The 14,110-nt window shown below is 58.7% G+C and overlaps 1 protein-coding gene across 9 annotated transcripts in view, besides 2 other annotated features; it reads left to right on the forward strand.

Moving 5' to 3' along the window:
• KIF19 (kinesin family member 19) overlaps nucleotides 1-13,951 on the forward strand; it is a 29,595-nt gene extending 15,644 nt beyond the window's left edge. The window contains exons 3-20 of one of the 9 annotated variants that reach the window (XM_017024150.2): nucleotides 7-117; nucleotides 761-848; nucleotides 1,155-1,291; nucleotides 2,354-2,479; nucleotides 2,892-3,086; nucleotides 4,509-4,694; nucleotides 5,908-6,030; nucleotides 7,315-7,480; nucleotides 8,532-8,706; nucleotides 8,838-9,036; nucleotides 9,998-10,268; nucleotides 10,347-10,471; nucleotides 10,952-11,085; nucleotides 11,327-11,432; nucleotides 11,625-11,712; nucleotides 12,293-12,690; nucleotides 12,913-13,072; nucleotides 13,313-13,951. In XM_017024150.2, the coding sequence (XP_016879639.1) occupies nucleotides 7-117; nucleotides 761-848; nucleotides 1,155-1,291; nucleotides 2,354-2,479; nucleotides 2,892-3,086; nucleotides 4,509-4,694; nucleotides 5,908-6,030; nucleotides 7,315-7,480; nucleotides 8,532-8,706; nucleotides 8,838-9,036; nucleotides 9,998-10,268; nucleotides 10,347-10,471; nucleotides 10,952-11,085; nucleotides 11,327-11,432; nucleotides 11,625-11,712; nucleotides 12,293-12,690; nucleotides 12,913-13,072; nucleotides 13,313-13,443 (2,919 nt within the window). In that variant the 3' untranslated portion in view covers nucleotides 13,444-13,951. Of the gene's footprint in view, nucleotides 1-6; nucleotides 118-760; nucleotides 849-1,154; nucleotides 1,292-2,353; nucleotides 2,480-2,891; nucleotides 3,087-4,508; nucleotides 4,695-5,907; nucleotides 6,031-7,314; nucleotides 7,481-8,531; nucleotides 8,707-8,837; nucleotides 9,037-9,997; nucleotides 10,269-10,346; nucleotides 10,472-10,951; nucleotides 11,086-11,326; nucleotides 11,433-11,624; nucleotides 11,713-12,292; nucleotides 12,691-12,912; nucleotides 13,073-13,312 lie in introns of those variants that run through there. The other 8 variants (XM_017024151.2, XM_005257029.2, NM_153209.4 and 5 more) reach the window with 8 other exon arrangements.
• Nucleotides 10,381-10,911: an enhancer, noted in NCBI's record as "H3K27ac-H3K4me1 hESC enhancer chr17:72348389-72348919 (GRCh37/hg19 assembly coordinates)". NCBI's record gives its function as "activates a minimal SCP1, AML or CMV promoter by ChIP-STARR-seq in naive H9 embryonic stem cells {active_cell/tissue: H9 hESC(naive)}" and the evidence as "EXISTENCE:reporter gene assay evidence [ECO:0000049][PMID:30033119]".
• Nucleotides 12,215-12,264: an enhancer, noted in NCBI's record as "active region_12704". NCBI's record gives its function as "activates an Ori minimal core promoter by ATAC-STARR-seq in GM12878 lymphoblastoid cells {active_cell/tissue: GM12878}" and the evidence as "EXISTENCE:reporter gene assay evidence [ECO:0000049][PMID:35858748]".
• Nucleotides 13,952-14,110: the final 159 nt, after the last annotated feature.

Below are 14,110 nucleotides of genomic sequence, written 5' to 3' on the forward strand. Positions count from 1 at the left end.
TTGCAGATGGTGGTTCTCATGGACCCAATGGAGGATCCCGACGACATCCTGCGGGCGCATCGCTCCCGGGAGAAGTCCTACCTGTTCGACGTGGCCTTTGACTTCACCGCCACCCAGGTGAGGGAGGGCCTGGGCTGGAGACACGCAGGAGCCCCTCCCCCACCCTTAGCCCCACTCAGGAGGGGCCCTCCAGGGCCCCTGCCTTTGAACCTCAGCCTCCACTCCACCTGCTCACCCTCTGTTCCTTGAGCCTTCCCCATTCAGGAAGGTTCTCATGCACACAAGGCACACACACCCGGCCTCCTGCAAGGATGCACTGGGGTTGGCACTCAGACACCACCCTACACGGTACAACTCGCTTGGCTCCTACTGAGCTGGAAAAGGAGCTTGAAGGCCATCTGGTGTGGGGAGGACAGGGGCAGAGGGTGGGTTCAGCGAAGCTGACACCCTCCTCGAGGACCCCCATCTCGCCCATCTGTGGGATGCTCCCAGGAACAGATGTGATGCATCCTCAGGGCGGGGGGCCAGGAGCCAGCTGCGCAGGAAGGCGTCTCAGGTGTCCTGGGCTCTCTTTCAGCCTGACGTCCCCCACTGTGAGTGTAAGCAGAGACATCCCCTCCCCCACCCCCCACCCCCACTTATCTTGGGGCTGGGGCTCCAGGGACAGAAACCTCTCCTATCAGAGGTCAGGAAGAGCCAGTGGGTGCCTGTGCTGTGCCCCGCCTGTGTCCCGGCCCCTGACAGGCTTCCTTCCTCGCAGGAGATGGTGTATCAGGCCACCACCAAGAGCCTCATCGAGGGCGTCATCTCAGGCTACAATGCCACTGTCTTTGCCTATGGCCCCACAGGTAAGGGGAATGCCCAGACTGTGGGCGAGGACCGCAATGCCCCTGTAATCCCCGTCACCCTCCAACTAGTCTGACCCCAGCTGGAGCAGGAATCCAGGATGTGGTCGCTCCACATCTCACCCAGGGCCCTCCAGCCCCAGAGGCCCCAACCCGAGCCGGGGCATCATCCTCCCCACTCCCCACCACCTCCCTGGCCCTCTGAGAGGGCCCAGCCTTGAGGACAAACCCCGGTTTCCAGGAGTGCCTGCCCAGCAAGGCCTCCCTCCCAGCCCCACCCCGGTCACCCTCCACCTTGTTCTGCCCCAGGCTGTGGGAAAACCTACACCATGCTGGGCACAGACCAGGAGCCTGGCATCTATGTTCAGACCCTCAACGACCTCTTCCGTGCCATCGAGGAGACCAGCAATGACATGGAGTATGAGGTCTCCATGTCCTACCTGGAGGTGAGTCCCCCAGCCTAGGCTCAGATGGGGCTGGCCTCCCTCCCTGGGGCTGGTCACTGTGCAGCTTCCCGGGGCGCTCATCACTGCTGCCCTCCTGCATGCCTACTGTGAGCTCCACTTTACAAACATCGCAGGCTCATCAGAGAGGTTAGGCAACTAGGCCAATGTCACACAGTAAGCGAGGGAGCGGGGATTCAAACTCAGGACCCTGCAGCTTCAAGGCCAAGCTCCGCCCTGTGCCACGCTCACCACCTCACCATCCTCACAGGCCCATTCCTTAGAGCAGACCCTGTCTGCCCTGCCAGGCTGCCTCCAGCGATTCTGTGTATGTGGGTACAGTGAAAACTGAACATACATGTACAGTCTGGAACCTGTGGGCCTTTGCCACCCAGCCACAGCCTCCTGGTGCCCACCCCATGGGAGTGCTATCACCAGACAGTGATGGGATGTCAGGGACTGGGGAAGCACACAGAGTCCAGAAGAGGTGGGAGGCTGGACTTCATCTGGCTCCTCCGGGAGCTGATAATCTCCTGGGTGACATCTTAAGGAGGCAGTGAGGCACAGCACCAGCAGCTGCTGGCCAACAAGGTGTTGATTCAGCCAGCAAGACTCGCTTTACGGGGTGGGGGTGCCCCCAGAAGGAGCACAGGGGTTGCCTAGCAATGAACAGGGCTCCTCACTGGGTGGGGGAAGGGGGTTCTGGTCATTTGTCAGGTCCCCATGCAACTAGGTCAATGTCACACAGTAAGTGAGGGAATGGGGATTCACACTCAGGACCCTGCCCGGTGCCCAGCCTGTCTGGAAAGGGGTGCTCCTTGGTTTCAAAGCCTCCTGTAACCTTGGCTCCAGCAGCCCGATGTTTCCTGTGGATGCTGAAGCCCCTGACCCCATAGGAAGGAAAGGGCCTTTCCTCCTAATCAGGGCTCTTCTGAGAAGAGCCTGGGCTCAGGAAGGGTGAACTCTTGTCCCTTTCCTGCACGAAAGGAAAGGGGACTCAGCCCTGGCCTTGACCTCCTGCCCTTAGTCTCCCTTCCCCCACCCCTCCCCCACCTGTCCCGTCAGATCTACAATGAGATGATCCGGGACCTGCTGAACCCCTCCCTGGGCTACCTGGAGCTGCGGGAGGACTCTAAGGGGGTGATCCAGGTGGCCGGCATCACCGAAGTCTCCACCATCAATGCCAAGGAGGCGAGTTTTGTGTGGCCAGCCTGGAGCCGCTGAGAGGAAGCTCACCGCCTGAGGGGCAGGAGGGGCGGGGACAGAAGCCAGGGAGCTGCTCCCCACTCGGCTGAGGCTGGGACAGACAGGAGAATCCTGAGTGGCAGCAAGGAGGGGACTCACACCTGCCCCAATGCCCCCACCACGCTGACCCTGGGAGAGTAACCAGGCAACACTGCCTCTCCATTTACACAGAGACCCTGACCTCCAGAGAGCCGAGGCCCACGCCAGGCCTCTCAGCACACGGAGCCCAGCCCACTCCAGCCTGCCCTTTCCCAACTGCTCAGACATAGGACCCTCCCTGCTAGCCCCCTCAGGGGCTCCTCTCTGCCGGAGCACCTACGGCAGTCGCTAAGAGCTGCCTCTCCTCCCTCCCACCCAGATCATGCAGCTGCTGATGAAGGGGAACCGGCAGAGGACCCAGGAGCCCACGGCCGCCAACCAGACGTCCTCCCGCTCCCACGCGGTACTGCAGGTGACCGTGCGCCAGCGCAGCCGGGTCAAGAACATCTTGCAGGAGGTGCGGCAGGGCCGCCTGTTCATGATCGACCTGGCTGGCTCAGAGCGCGCCTCGCAGGTGAGGCTGGGACCTGGGCTGGGCAGAGGAGGGAGGGTTGACCCAGGCAACAGCGGAGGGCAGGAATGGTGACTCCCATGCAAGGCCAGCACCACAGGAACAGGGGAGACAGGTTGGGAGGTGGGGACAGGGACGCTGGCATCTCAGCTTCGTAGGAGTTGGAGCGGGGAGGATGTCGCAGCGAGGTGGAGGGGATGAGTGGAGACCCCCGGGTTAAGGAAGTGAGGAACGTTCCAGAGGAGCAGGGTTGGGGGGAATGGGGTAGGGCATCCCGGGAAGAGCCAAGGAGCTCTGGTGGGAAGGGGAAGGAGGATGGGGGTTTCTCCAGGGAAGGAGACTGTGGCTGCCCTAGGGGAGGGATCCAGGAAGACAATGAATGGGCCCAAAGGAGTAGTTGGAGGCAGGGAGAGACAAGCATCCCCTGACTGGGAGGACTTGACACATCCTGGGAGAGGACCCAGCCAGTCACATCACAAAGAGGAGAAGGTCCCCGTCACCCATTTCTGGCAGCATCTTTGTCCCCTCTCATGAAGCTTGGCTTTGTGGCAGCACCTTTGTCCCCTCCCATGAAGTCCTGCTTGCCGAGCTCTGCAGCCTTGGTGGCAGCACCACCCAGCTGGTGTAGGTCTGGGCTCCCTCGTGCAGGCAATCTTGGGGGTTTTATGGTCACCTGAGCAATGAGGCTGGGTGATGTCACCATTGCTGGCACTGGAACAAATGCAAGGGAAATGACAGTGCCAGAAAGAATGAGCAGTCTTTTGTCTTTGAACATCTGGGGTCGGATCCGAACAGGGCAGGTTCAAGAAACTTACCCCTCCCTTCCAGTAAAGCCTGGGGGGCTTCCTGGAAGGCACACAGGGGAGAGGCCTGGGAGGAGAGAGAGTGCCCTTCAGCCACTGGAGCGAGCTGGTCCCGGCTTCTCCAGGCTGGGCAGAGCCACCTCCTAAGGGGAGCTGCAGGCAGGGCCTCCTCGGCTTTGACATGCTCCTGCAGGCCCAAGAAAAGGAGAAGAACCTGCCCTCCACCACCATGCACATGTGCACGCACTTTCCTCCTTGCTCCCTGGAGCACCCTCTGGAGCACCAGTGGTCCTGCCGGCTCCCAGCTGAGCTGCCTGGAAAGCAACCTCCCTCCCATCTCATCCATGGCACTGTGTGTCAGGCCGTGCCACGGCACCTGCCCTGAGGAGAACCGGCCATCTCAGCCCTCCTCAGAAGCTGTCAGCCCATCACTCTTGTTCAGAGGCCTCTGGGTCTCTTAACCTTCTCCAATGCCCTCAGTGGCCTTGGCAGGAGGACGGCCACAAGGTCCTTGGGGGTTTATTACCCAGGATCACCAGGTCATTCATTGGTGGGGTGGCTGGGGAGAAACCCAGTCCCCTGCCTCATCAGGCCACACGTGTGCCCTTTGCTCGCCCCCTAGACACAGAATCGTGGGCAGCGTATGAAGGAGGGGGCCCACATCAACCGCTCACTGCTGGCACTGGGCAACTGCATCAACGCCCTGAGCGACAAGGGTAGCAACAAGTACATCAACTATCGCGACAGCAAGCTCACCCGGCTCCTGAAGGTACCAGCCACAGCTGGGCCTGGGCACTGGGCACCAAGGGTGAGGCTGCCAGATTAAACAAATGAAAATACAGGGCACCCAGCTAAATTCCAACCTCAGGATACACAGCAAAATTTATTTTAGCGTAAATATGTCCCATGAAATATTTGGGATATTCTTATGCTAAAACAAAGTAATTGCATATCTGAAATTCAAATTTAACTGGGTATCCTGTATTTTATCTGACGACCCTAACCAAAGGCTGGGCAATGGGAAGGAAAAGGAGCACGTGATACCCCCACCCAGGGCTGTGGGTCAGAGCCGTCTAGATTTGGGGGTGCAGGTGGGCAGTCAGCCTCATGGCCCCACAGGTCAGCTGTTTGGGGGTGGCCTCCTTTGTGCAGGGGTGTCCTTGGCCTTAAATTATAGCAGCATCACTGAGCGCCCACTCCTGGCTGGTCTCTTGAATTCAGTACTTCACTCTATTAGCTCCTTAGATCTCGTCAACAACTCTATGAGTTTGAGGGATTACATTTGCAGATGAGGAAACTGAGGCACAACTCAGTTAGGTAATGTTCCTAAGGGCTCACACTAGTAAGTGCTGAAAGTAGGATCCAGTCAGAGGCCTCCCTGATCTAATATCAGAGTCACCGCTTACTTAACATTGCCAGCAGCTGCCGTCATGACTGCACCTAGAAGCCGGGGAGGTGGGGACAATTGCAAAAGGACTGCCCCCTTAAAAAGCAAGGAAAGCCGGGTGTGGTGGCTCACGCCTGGAATCCCAGCACTTTGGGAGGCCGAGGCAGGTGGATCACTTAAGGTCAGGAGTTCAAGACAAGCCTGGCCACCATGGTGAAACCCCATCTCTACTAAAAATACAAAAATTGCCCAGGCATGGTGGCAGACGCCTATAGTCCCAGCTACTCGAGAGGCTGAGGCACGAGAATTGCTTGGACCTGGGAGGTGGAGGTTGCAGTGAGCTGAGACAGCGCCACTGCACTCCAGCCTGGATGACAGATCGAGACCCTGTCTCAAAAAAAAAAAAAAAAGAACTAAAGAGGTGAATGAGCTTTATTAAGGTTACACAGCTGGTAATTGCTGGAGCAGGGCTTTCTTCCTCCCAAGCCTCACACCATATGACGCTCAGCAGCCGGGTCCCTTAAGTGTAAAGAGACAGAGAGATTGCACTCGCCAGGGAGGGCATCGTGAACAGCCTGGCAGGAGGAAGGCCTGAGGAGGCAGTCCCCACTGACCACAGCCACCTCCCATCCAGGACTCTCTGGGAGGAAACAGCCGCACAGTGATGATCGCTCACATCAGTCCTGCGAGCAGTGCCTTCGAGGAGTCCCGGAACACCCTGACCTACGCCGGCCGGGCCAAGAACATTAAGACTAGGGTGAGGGCCCCTGGACCGTCCACCAGGACACACCTTCCTGGGCTGAGATTCAAGCCCCCGGGCTGATCCCTGCCACCCCACTGCACTCTCTGGAACCAGCCACTGCTGCACTGGCCTCATTCCCTAGTTGATCGTCACCTGTACACTTTCCCTGCACCTCCAAACCCTGCTCCTCTGCCGGGAAGCCGACAGCTCCCAAGGGTCCCCGCTTCCTCCAGTCCCAGGACTGTGCTCCCCCTGCCTCATCCCCTCTTCTCTTCCCTTCCTCGTCTTCAGATGCTCATTTAGACCTTTGCATTTCCAAAGCACCTCTTCATGATGGTCATCACAGGAGGCAAGCTTCATTGAGCACTTGCTCTGAGCTGTTTCACATGCTACCTCCTTTGATCCTCAAAAAACAGCAGTATTATTGCGGTTCCCATGTACAGATTAGGACAGCAAGGCTTAAGGAAGTTAAGTGACTTCCCAGCTGGCCAGTGATGGCGCTGAGGATGGAAATGAGATCTGCCCCGTTTCCAAGTCCGTGTCCTCACCTGTCTGTAAGCATGTCGGAACCCTTGCCATCCGCTTAGAAATCCATTTCCACCTGTTCGTGTGTGGAGGAGTGGGAATGGATTCATGTATGATAGCATGTAGGGAACATTCTCCCAACACCTAACACTTGCCAGCTGCTGCCCTGAGGGCTGTAAGTTTTATTCCAACCCCTCAATGGGGGACGGGAGACACATTCTTGAAACAGCTCATTGATGGTTCAGAATATTCCTAATAGCAGGTAAATGATGCCAATGGTAGGTGCTGGGGCAAGACAGGAACAGGAGGTGGGGGTGGCCTGGTGGGGTCCAGTGGAACTCTCTGGAGACTGTGAGTGGGACCCTGAAGGCTGGGAGGACATTCCAGAAAGGTGGGAGCAGGGAGAGCACAGGTTCCAAAGGCAGGAAGGGGATGGCGTCTGTGGTGGGTATGGGGAGAGCAGGACAGGTCTTCAACTGGAGTGGGATGTTCATGCAGGAGCGGTGAGCCCAGAGAAAATCAGAGAGATGGGGGTGGCCCTTCAACAACGGGTGGAGGAATGAGGACGTTCCCCGCAGGCATTAGGAAGCCACTGAAGGTTGATGAGATCTAGCAGTGAGTGTGACAGGAGGTTGTGGAAGTGGAGGAAAGGAGGCCATTACTGTCACCCAGAAAGACTGGGGGAGGCAGGGGGAAGAAAGGCCCTGCAGGCAGGCCTCGGTGAGTGCACCTGGGGTGACTGCATCCCCTCCGCTCCATACGTGTTCCCTGCAGGTGAAGCAGAACCTCCTGAACGTCTCCTACCACATCGCCCAGTACACCAGCATCATCGCTGACCTGCGGGGCGAGATCCAGCGACTCAAGCGCAAGATTGATGAGCAGACTGGGCGGGGCCAGGCCCGGGGCCGGCAGGATCGGGGTGACATCCGCCACATCCAAGGTGCGCCTGTGGGTCTGTGTGAGTGGCAGCCCCCTCCGGCCAGCCTCACGTTGCTCTGGGATCAGGCCATGTTGTGTTCAAATCCAGAATCGGGCTCTTTCTGGCTGGGTGGTTGAGCTAGGCACTCACCAGCTCTGAGCCTCCTAGCATTCAGCTGTTAAATGGGGTTGTGATCTCTGCTTCAGACAGTTACCAGAGATCACAAGCCGATTTCCCAACCCCACCTTGGAAGAGTAGGTGGGATCCCACGAGGGAGAGGCACGTGAGCAATGAGCTGCGCAGGGCGCACACTAAGGGCTGTGGCGTAGGGCTGCGAGGTCATGCCTGCACCCCCGGAATGGGCTCCGTTTCCTTGTAGACCTGCATATTTGCTATGATGGTTTTCCAACAGACAGTAAAGCTTTTTTTAAAAAAAAATTTACTAATATAAAGAGAGAGGCAGACAGTAAAGATTTTTTTTTTTTTTTGAGACAGAGTCTTGCTCTGTTGCCCAGGCTGGAGTGCAGTGGCATGATCTAGGCTTACTGCAACCTCTGCCTCCCGGGTTCAAGCGATTCTTCTGCCTCAGCCTCCCAAGTAGCTGGGATTACAGGTGCCCGCCACCACACCTGGCTAATTTTTGTATTTTTAGTAGAGACGAGGTTTCACCATGTTGGCCAGGCTGGTCTCGAACTCCCGACCTCAGGTGATCTGCCTGCCTAGGCCTCCCAAAGTGCTGGGATTACAGGTGTAAGCTACTGTGCCTGGCCACAGACGGTAGTTTCTAGGGGCACCTTTTTATAGTTGGCACAGAGGTGCTGTAAGGGTTAGCAGGAGCCCAGTTCATACCAAGGAGCTGGGAATTGCTTTTGGGCAACAGCTTGAAGACTCAATGTGGGAGTGGGGTCTGGGAGGATGTAGTAATCTAGGGGGTCTTCCTGGAGGAAGCAGTTGGACAGGAAGTGGGAGCACTGAGTTGGGAAGAAAAGGAGGGGAGGGGCCCAGGTGGGCCCAGGCTTTGCTAGCTGAACTTGCCGCCTCCTCTACCTTGCCCACCCTCACCCATCGGCAGCTGAGGTCCAGCTGCACAGCGGGCAGGGTGAGAAGGCTGGCATGGGACAGCTTCGGGAGCAGCTCGCCAGCGCCTTCCAGGAGCAGATGGATGTGCGGAGGCGCCTGCTGGAGCTGGAGAACCGCGCCATGGAGGTCCAGATTGACACCTCCCGACACCTGCTCACCATCGCCGGGTAAGCCCCCCTCCCAGGACCCTCCAGGCCCCACCCCTGTGCCTGGGACAGAGGAGCACGACCTGTGGCTGTACAGTGTGCCCTGCCCCCATGGCCTGAATGCCCTGTCTCTCTGGGTGGGGCTGCGGCAGCTGGAAGCATGAGAAGTCCCGCCGGGCCCTCAAATGGCGGGAGGAGCAGCGAAAGGAGTGCTACGCTAAGGACGACAGCGAGAAGGACTCAGACACAGGTGATGACCAACCAGACATCCTGGAGCCACCCGAGGTGGCCGCAGCCCGGGAGAGCATTGCAGCCCTGGTGGACGAGCAGAAGCAACTGCGCAAGCAGAAGGTGTCCAGGGTTTGGGGGGACAAGGAGAGTGGGTTTAGGGGACAGGGTGAGCAGGTTTGAGAGGCAAGGCGGAGGGGCCAGGGTGGGGGTAGCCGTGAGACTTGGGAACTCAGGCCACAAATCCTGTGTGACTTTGCTAAGCTCTTTAACTTCTCTATGCGTCACATTCCCCACCTGTAAAATGGGAGCAGTCCATGGTGCAGCCCTCATGGGGTTGCTGGGAAGATTACATAAATGCCTGGCACATACCAAGGACTCAAAAAATGGTAACTAATGTTATAATTAGGGTTTTTCAGGCTGGGCACAGTGACTCACACCTGTAATCTCAGCACGTTGGGAAGTTGAGGTAGGCAGATCACTTGAGGCCAGGAGTTCGAGACCAGCCTGGCCAACATGGCGAAATCCCGTCTTTACTAAAAATACAAAAAAAAAAAAAAAAAAGCCTAGTGTGGTGGCTCACGCCTGTAATCCCAGCTACTCGGATGGCAGAGGAATAAGAATCACTTGCAACCCTGCAGAGGTTGCAGGGAGCCGGGATAGCGCCACCGCACTCCAGCCTGGGTGACAGAGAGAGATCCTGTCTCAAAAAAGAAAAATAATAATAATAATTAGGGTTTTCCCAATAACAGATCTTTGCCTTCTGTTCTGGGACATACCCAGACCAAAGGGGCTTTAGGGTATCATGAGCCCTGAGGGGGTCACATGGGCTGGGGTTGAGCAGTTATCCCCCAAGCTGGTTCCAGGGGTGGTTTGCGGTCAGGATAGCAAGAAAGTGGACACTGAGGGGCCACCTTGGAGCAGTCCCTGATTGTAAGGCCCAAGATTCAGCTTTTAGGGTTGGCCTCAGGCTGGAGCTCCAGACAGATGCCTGGAGTCCAGGCGCTGGAGGGTCGAGGACGAGCTGGGCAGGCGGATCGGACCCCTCTCCCCGCTGCCAGATGCTGACCTGCGCCTCCTGCAGCTGGCGCTGGAGCAGCGCTGCCGGGAGCTGCGCGCGCGGGGCCGGCGCCTGGAGGAGACGCTGCCGCGGCGCATCGGCTCCGAGGAGCAGCGCGAGGTGCTCAGCCTGCTGTGCCGCGTGCACGAGCTCGAGGTGGAGAACACCGAGATGCAGTCGCACGCGCTGCTCCGCGACGGTGCGCTCCGCCACCGCCACGAGGCCGTGCGCCGCCTGGAGCAGCACCGCAGTCTCTGCGACGAGATTATCCAGGGCCAGCGGCAGATCATCGACGGTAGGGCCCACGCCCCCGCGCATCTGAGCCACCCGCGGGGGGGCCGCTGGCACTCACTGAGCCCTGCCCCTTCCCCAGCAGACTACAACCTGGCCGTCCCGCAGCGCCTGGAAGAGCTCTACGAAGTGTACCTGCGGGAGCTGGAGGAGGGCAGCCTGGAGCAGGCCACCATCATGGACCAAGTGGCCTCCAGGGCCCTGCAGGTGGGTGGGCGCCTGGGCGGCCTGAACATGGGCACATGTGCCCAGGGAGGGGCTGATGACCAAGGCAATGCCTTCAGGCAGCTGGAGGGGACAGGACCAGGCTGGCTGGCACCCCAGGGAGTTGACTCCCTTTCCTTCTTACCCCACCCAAAGCCTTGTCAAGCCTGAGTAAGACCCTCCTCCTTGGGCACTCCTGGGCATCACTTGCTCCCACCCAGGGTCTGAGGGTCAGGGCTGGCCATCTGAGATATCACAAATGGCTCCAGCTGCCCTCCCAGGAGACCAAGCATCAGGCAGTGCCACTGGGGAAGCCTAGCAGACCACAGCTTAACCCCGAGGACCCAAACACAAGCCCACTGCCCTTCTGGGGCTCCCAGGCCATCTTACAGCCCTTGTCACCCTGTAAGCCTTTGTGACTCTGTGCTGATTTGGTCCAGGACCAAATCTTCTAACTGTCCACCCTGGCTCCCTCCTCCCCAGGACAGCTCCTTGCCCAAAATTACCCCAGCAGGAACCTCACTGACCCCAGATTCTGACCTGGAGAGTGTGAAGACATTGAGCTCTGATGCCCAGCACCTGCAGAACAGCGCCCTCCCTCCCCTCAGCACAGAGAGGTGAGATGGGGGCCACCTGCCCCAGCCCCCACCCTGTGCCCTGTCCCAGAGAGGCCAACCCAGACTAAGGCTAAATGGGGAACACAGAGCAGCAATGAGAGGGAGCAGGTGGCCCAGGTCTGGAGCCAGGACTCCTGGGTTCTCTCTCCTTTCACACCAACAGCTTCTCCCCTGGGGTGGGGGTGGGACCTCGGTGAGATAGCCTGGTCTACAGCCACTCATCTTCCTCTGCCAACTTCAGTGAAGGCCACCACGTGTTCAAGGCTGGTACTGGGGCCTGGCAGGCAAAAAGCTCCTCTGTGCCCACCCCACCTCCCATCCAGCTCGGCAGCCTGGTGACGCAGGAGGTGAGCTCTCAGTACCCGATGGCCCCACGAGCTCCACTGCAGCGGGTGCGGGACATGGGGGTGGACAGCAGCAGTTGGGATGGACCCTTTCCCAAACGGCACCAGCTTGAGGCCCCGCTGTCTCTGCTGAGTGGGGCATGGGGTCCCTGCTGTGTTTAAGGGTTTCCTCCTCCCAACCACTCCACCCCACAGGCCCCGGCTCAGGACAGCCTGGGCAGCTGGATCAACTCTTCCCCTGACAGCAGTGAGAACCTGTCGGAGATCCCCTTGTCCCACAAAGGTATGTGTGCCCTCTGCTGCCCGGCCACCTCACCTGGCCTTGTCTAAACTGTTCAGATCACCCAGCTCAAAGCCCTTTCCTGCCCTCTGCACTGCCAAGTGCAACCAAGCATTGGGTGCTACACATTCTGTAGAGGCACCATTGCCCCTGAGGATTAGTCAGTCAAGGACACTTAAGAGTCTTCTCTAAGTCAAGGACATTTAGAGAGATGGGGGCAGAATCGGAAATTAGAAAAGAGACATGTGGCATGGAGACTTATGTCCCCCCTCCCCCGCCGCCTCCGCTCAGTAATCACTGTAATAGCAAATATCGATTCAATGTCTGCCCCCTGGATAATGTAGGTTGAGCCCATTTCCTCAATTAATCCTGGAAATAACCGATGGCATTAGTTTTACCATCCCCCATTTGCAGATGAAAGTGAGGCTCGGAAATGGGCCCAAGTTTCTTACATAGCAAACCCCTGGAAGTGCTAGGATTGAAACCCAGGAGGTCTGGCTCCTACCCACGTCTGCCATGTCAGAGGAGGGTGTTGAGAGGTGGCCTTGATCTCGGGTTGTATGTTCCCCGTGTCCCGCTGCAGAGAGGAAGGAGATCCTGACTGGCACCAAGTGCATCTGGGTGAAGGCCGCCCGGCGGCGCTCGCGGGCCCTGGGAACCGAGGGGCGACACCTGCTGGCACCCGCGACAGAGCGCAGCAGCCTGTCCCTGCACTCACTGAGCGAGGGCGACGATGCGCGGCCACCAGGCCCACTGGCCTGCAAGCGGCCGCCCAGCCCCACACTACAGCATGCTGCCAGTGAGGACAACCTGTCCAGCAGCACGGGCGAGGCCCCGTCCCGGGCAGTCGGACATCATGGGGACGGCCCCAGGCCCTGGCTGCGTGGCCAGAAGAAAAGCCTGGGCAAGAAAAGGGAGGAGTCGCTGGAGGCAAAGAGAAGGAAGCGGAGGTCCCGATCCTTCGAGGTCACCGGGCAAGGGGTGAGGCGAGGCGCAGGGGTGGGTGTCTAGGCACTCCCATAGCAGCTGGAGGCCTGAGGGCTGGATTTCTCCAAAGGCTCCAGGGCACCTCTAGCCTACCCCATACCTGGAGGCACCACCCTCCACAGTCTCTGTCCCCAGCCTAGCATAGTAGCTGGGACAGATCCTGGTAGCAGATCCCTGTGCCGCTCTCGGCCTCACCCCACTGTTCAACCATCACAGCTCTCCCACCCCAAGACACACCTCCTGGGGCCCCATCAGGCGGAGCGCATCTCGGACCACAGGATGCCAGTGTGCAGGCACCCAGCCCCTGGTATCCGGCATCTGGGAAAGGTCACGCTACCTTTGGCCAAAGTCAAACTCCCTCCAAGCCAGAACACGGGTCAGTATGGGCAAGGAGGGGATGGGGAGGGGAGGCCTCCACCAGGCAGGGGAGCAGAGAAGACACATTGCATTTCCTGCGCCTCTGGCTGCCCCTTGCTGGAAGCATGGTTCTAGCAGAATACTCATGGGACTGGCATCCTGGGGTGGTGCCCCTAGAGAGTTCAAGGCCACTGGGTGATGGGAGAGGAGTTGGGGAGGCATTCCGAAACCACTGATCCTGCCCCTTTCCCTGTTGCAGGCCCGGGGGACTCCTCACCCCTGGCTGTTCCCCCCAACCCAGGTGGTGGTTCTCGACGGGCTACCCGTGGGCCCCGCCTGCCCCACGGCACAAGCACCCATGGCAAAGATGGATGCTCCCGGCATAACTGAGGGGCCCTGCCTGGAACTGGCTCTCTCACCTCCCAAGACTGAATGGGGTCTAGCAGGGCATGGGAGGTGGAGGCTGGGCAGATGGAGATGACCAGGAAGTAAGCTCAGGATCTCAGCAGGCCAGGGCTCCTGAGACCCAGGAACTGGGGTCTCTGCCCAACCCTCCCATGCTTTCAGTGCCACTGGGGAAAAGAGGTGAGGCCAGGGGACATGGCCAGGACGGCTGGGCTCCCTGGCTTCCCAGCCCTGGACAGAATGCTGTTGCCAAAACCTGCACAGCCCTGAGGCCAGCCTCGGCCTTGGTAACGGAGGAAAGCAGCTGACAGTGAGACGGGGCTCCTGGCCCACGTGTGGGGCACGGGCATCCTGGATGGTTGGGGAGGCGCCGACAGGCACTTCACGTATTACAATTGGGGATGTGGGTGAGGGAGGGAATCTGGTTTTGTTACTTGGCAGTGGTTTTTTCTCACCCTTCCTTTTTAACAATAAAATCCCATTTGGGTCTTGATGGTTGTGTTGGAAATTTGACCTTGTCTGGAATGTGGGGTGGCCATGACTAAGATTCAACCAACTCCCGCTCCCCCTAGTCCCCATCTACCCCTGGCTCGCTATATAGCACCAACCTACAAATACCTGGGGGAGAGGGGTTTTTCTCTAGATCCTGAGG

This window comes from Homo sapiens, chromosome 17 (genome assembly GCF_000001405.40).
Source record: "Homo sapiens chromosome 17, GRCh38.p14 Primary Assembly".
Taxonomy (NCBI): Eukaryota; Metazoa; Chordata; class Mammalia; order Primates; family Hominidae; genus Homo; species Homo sapiens.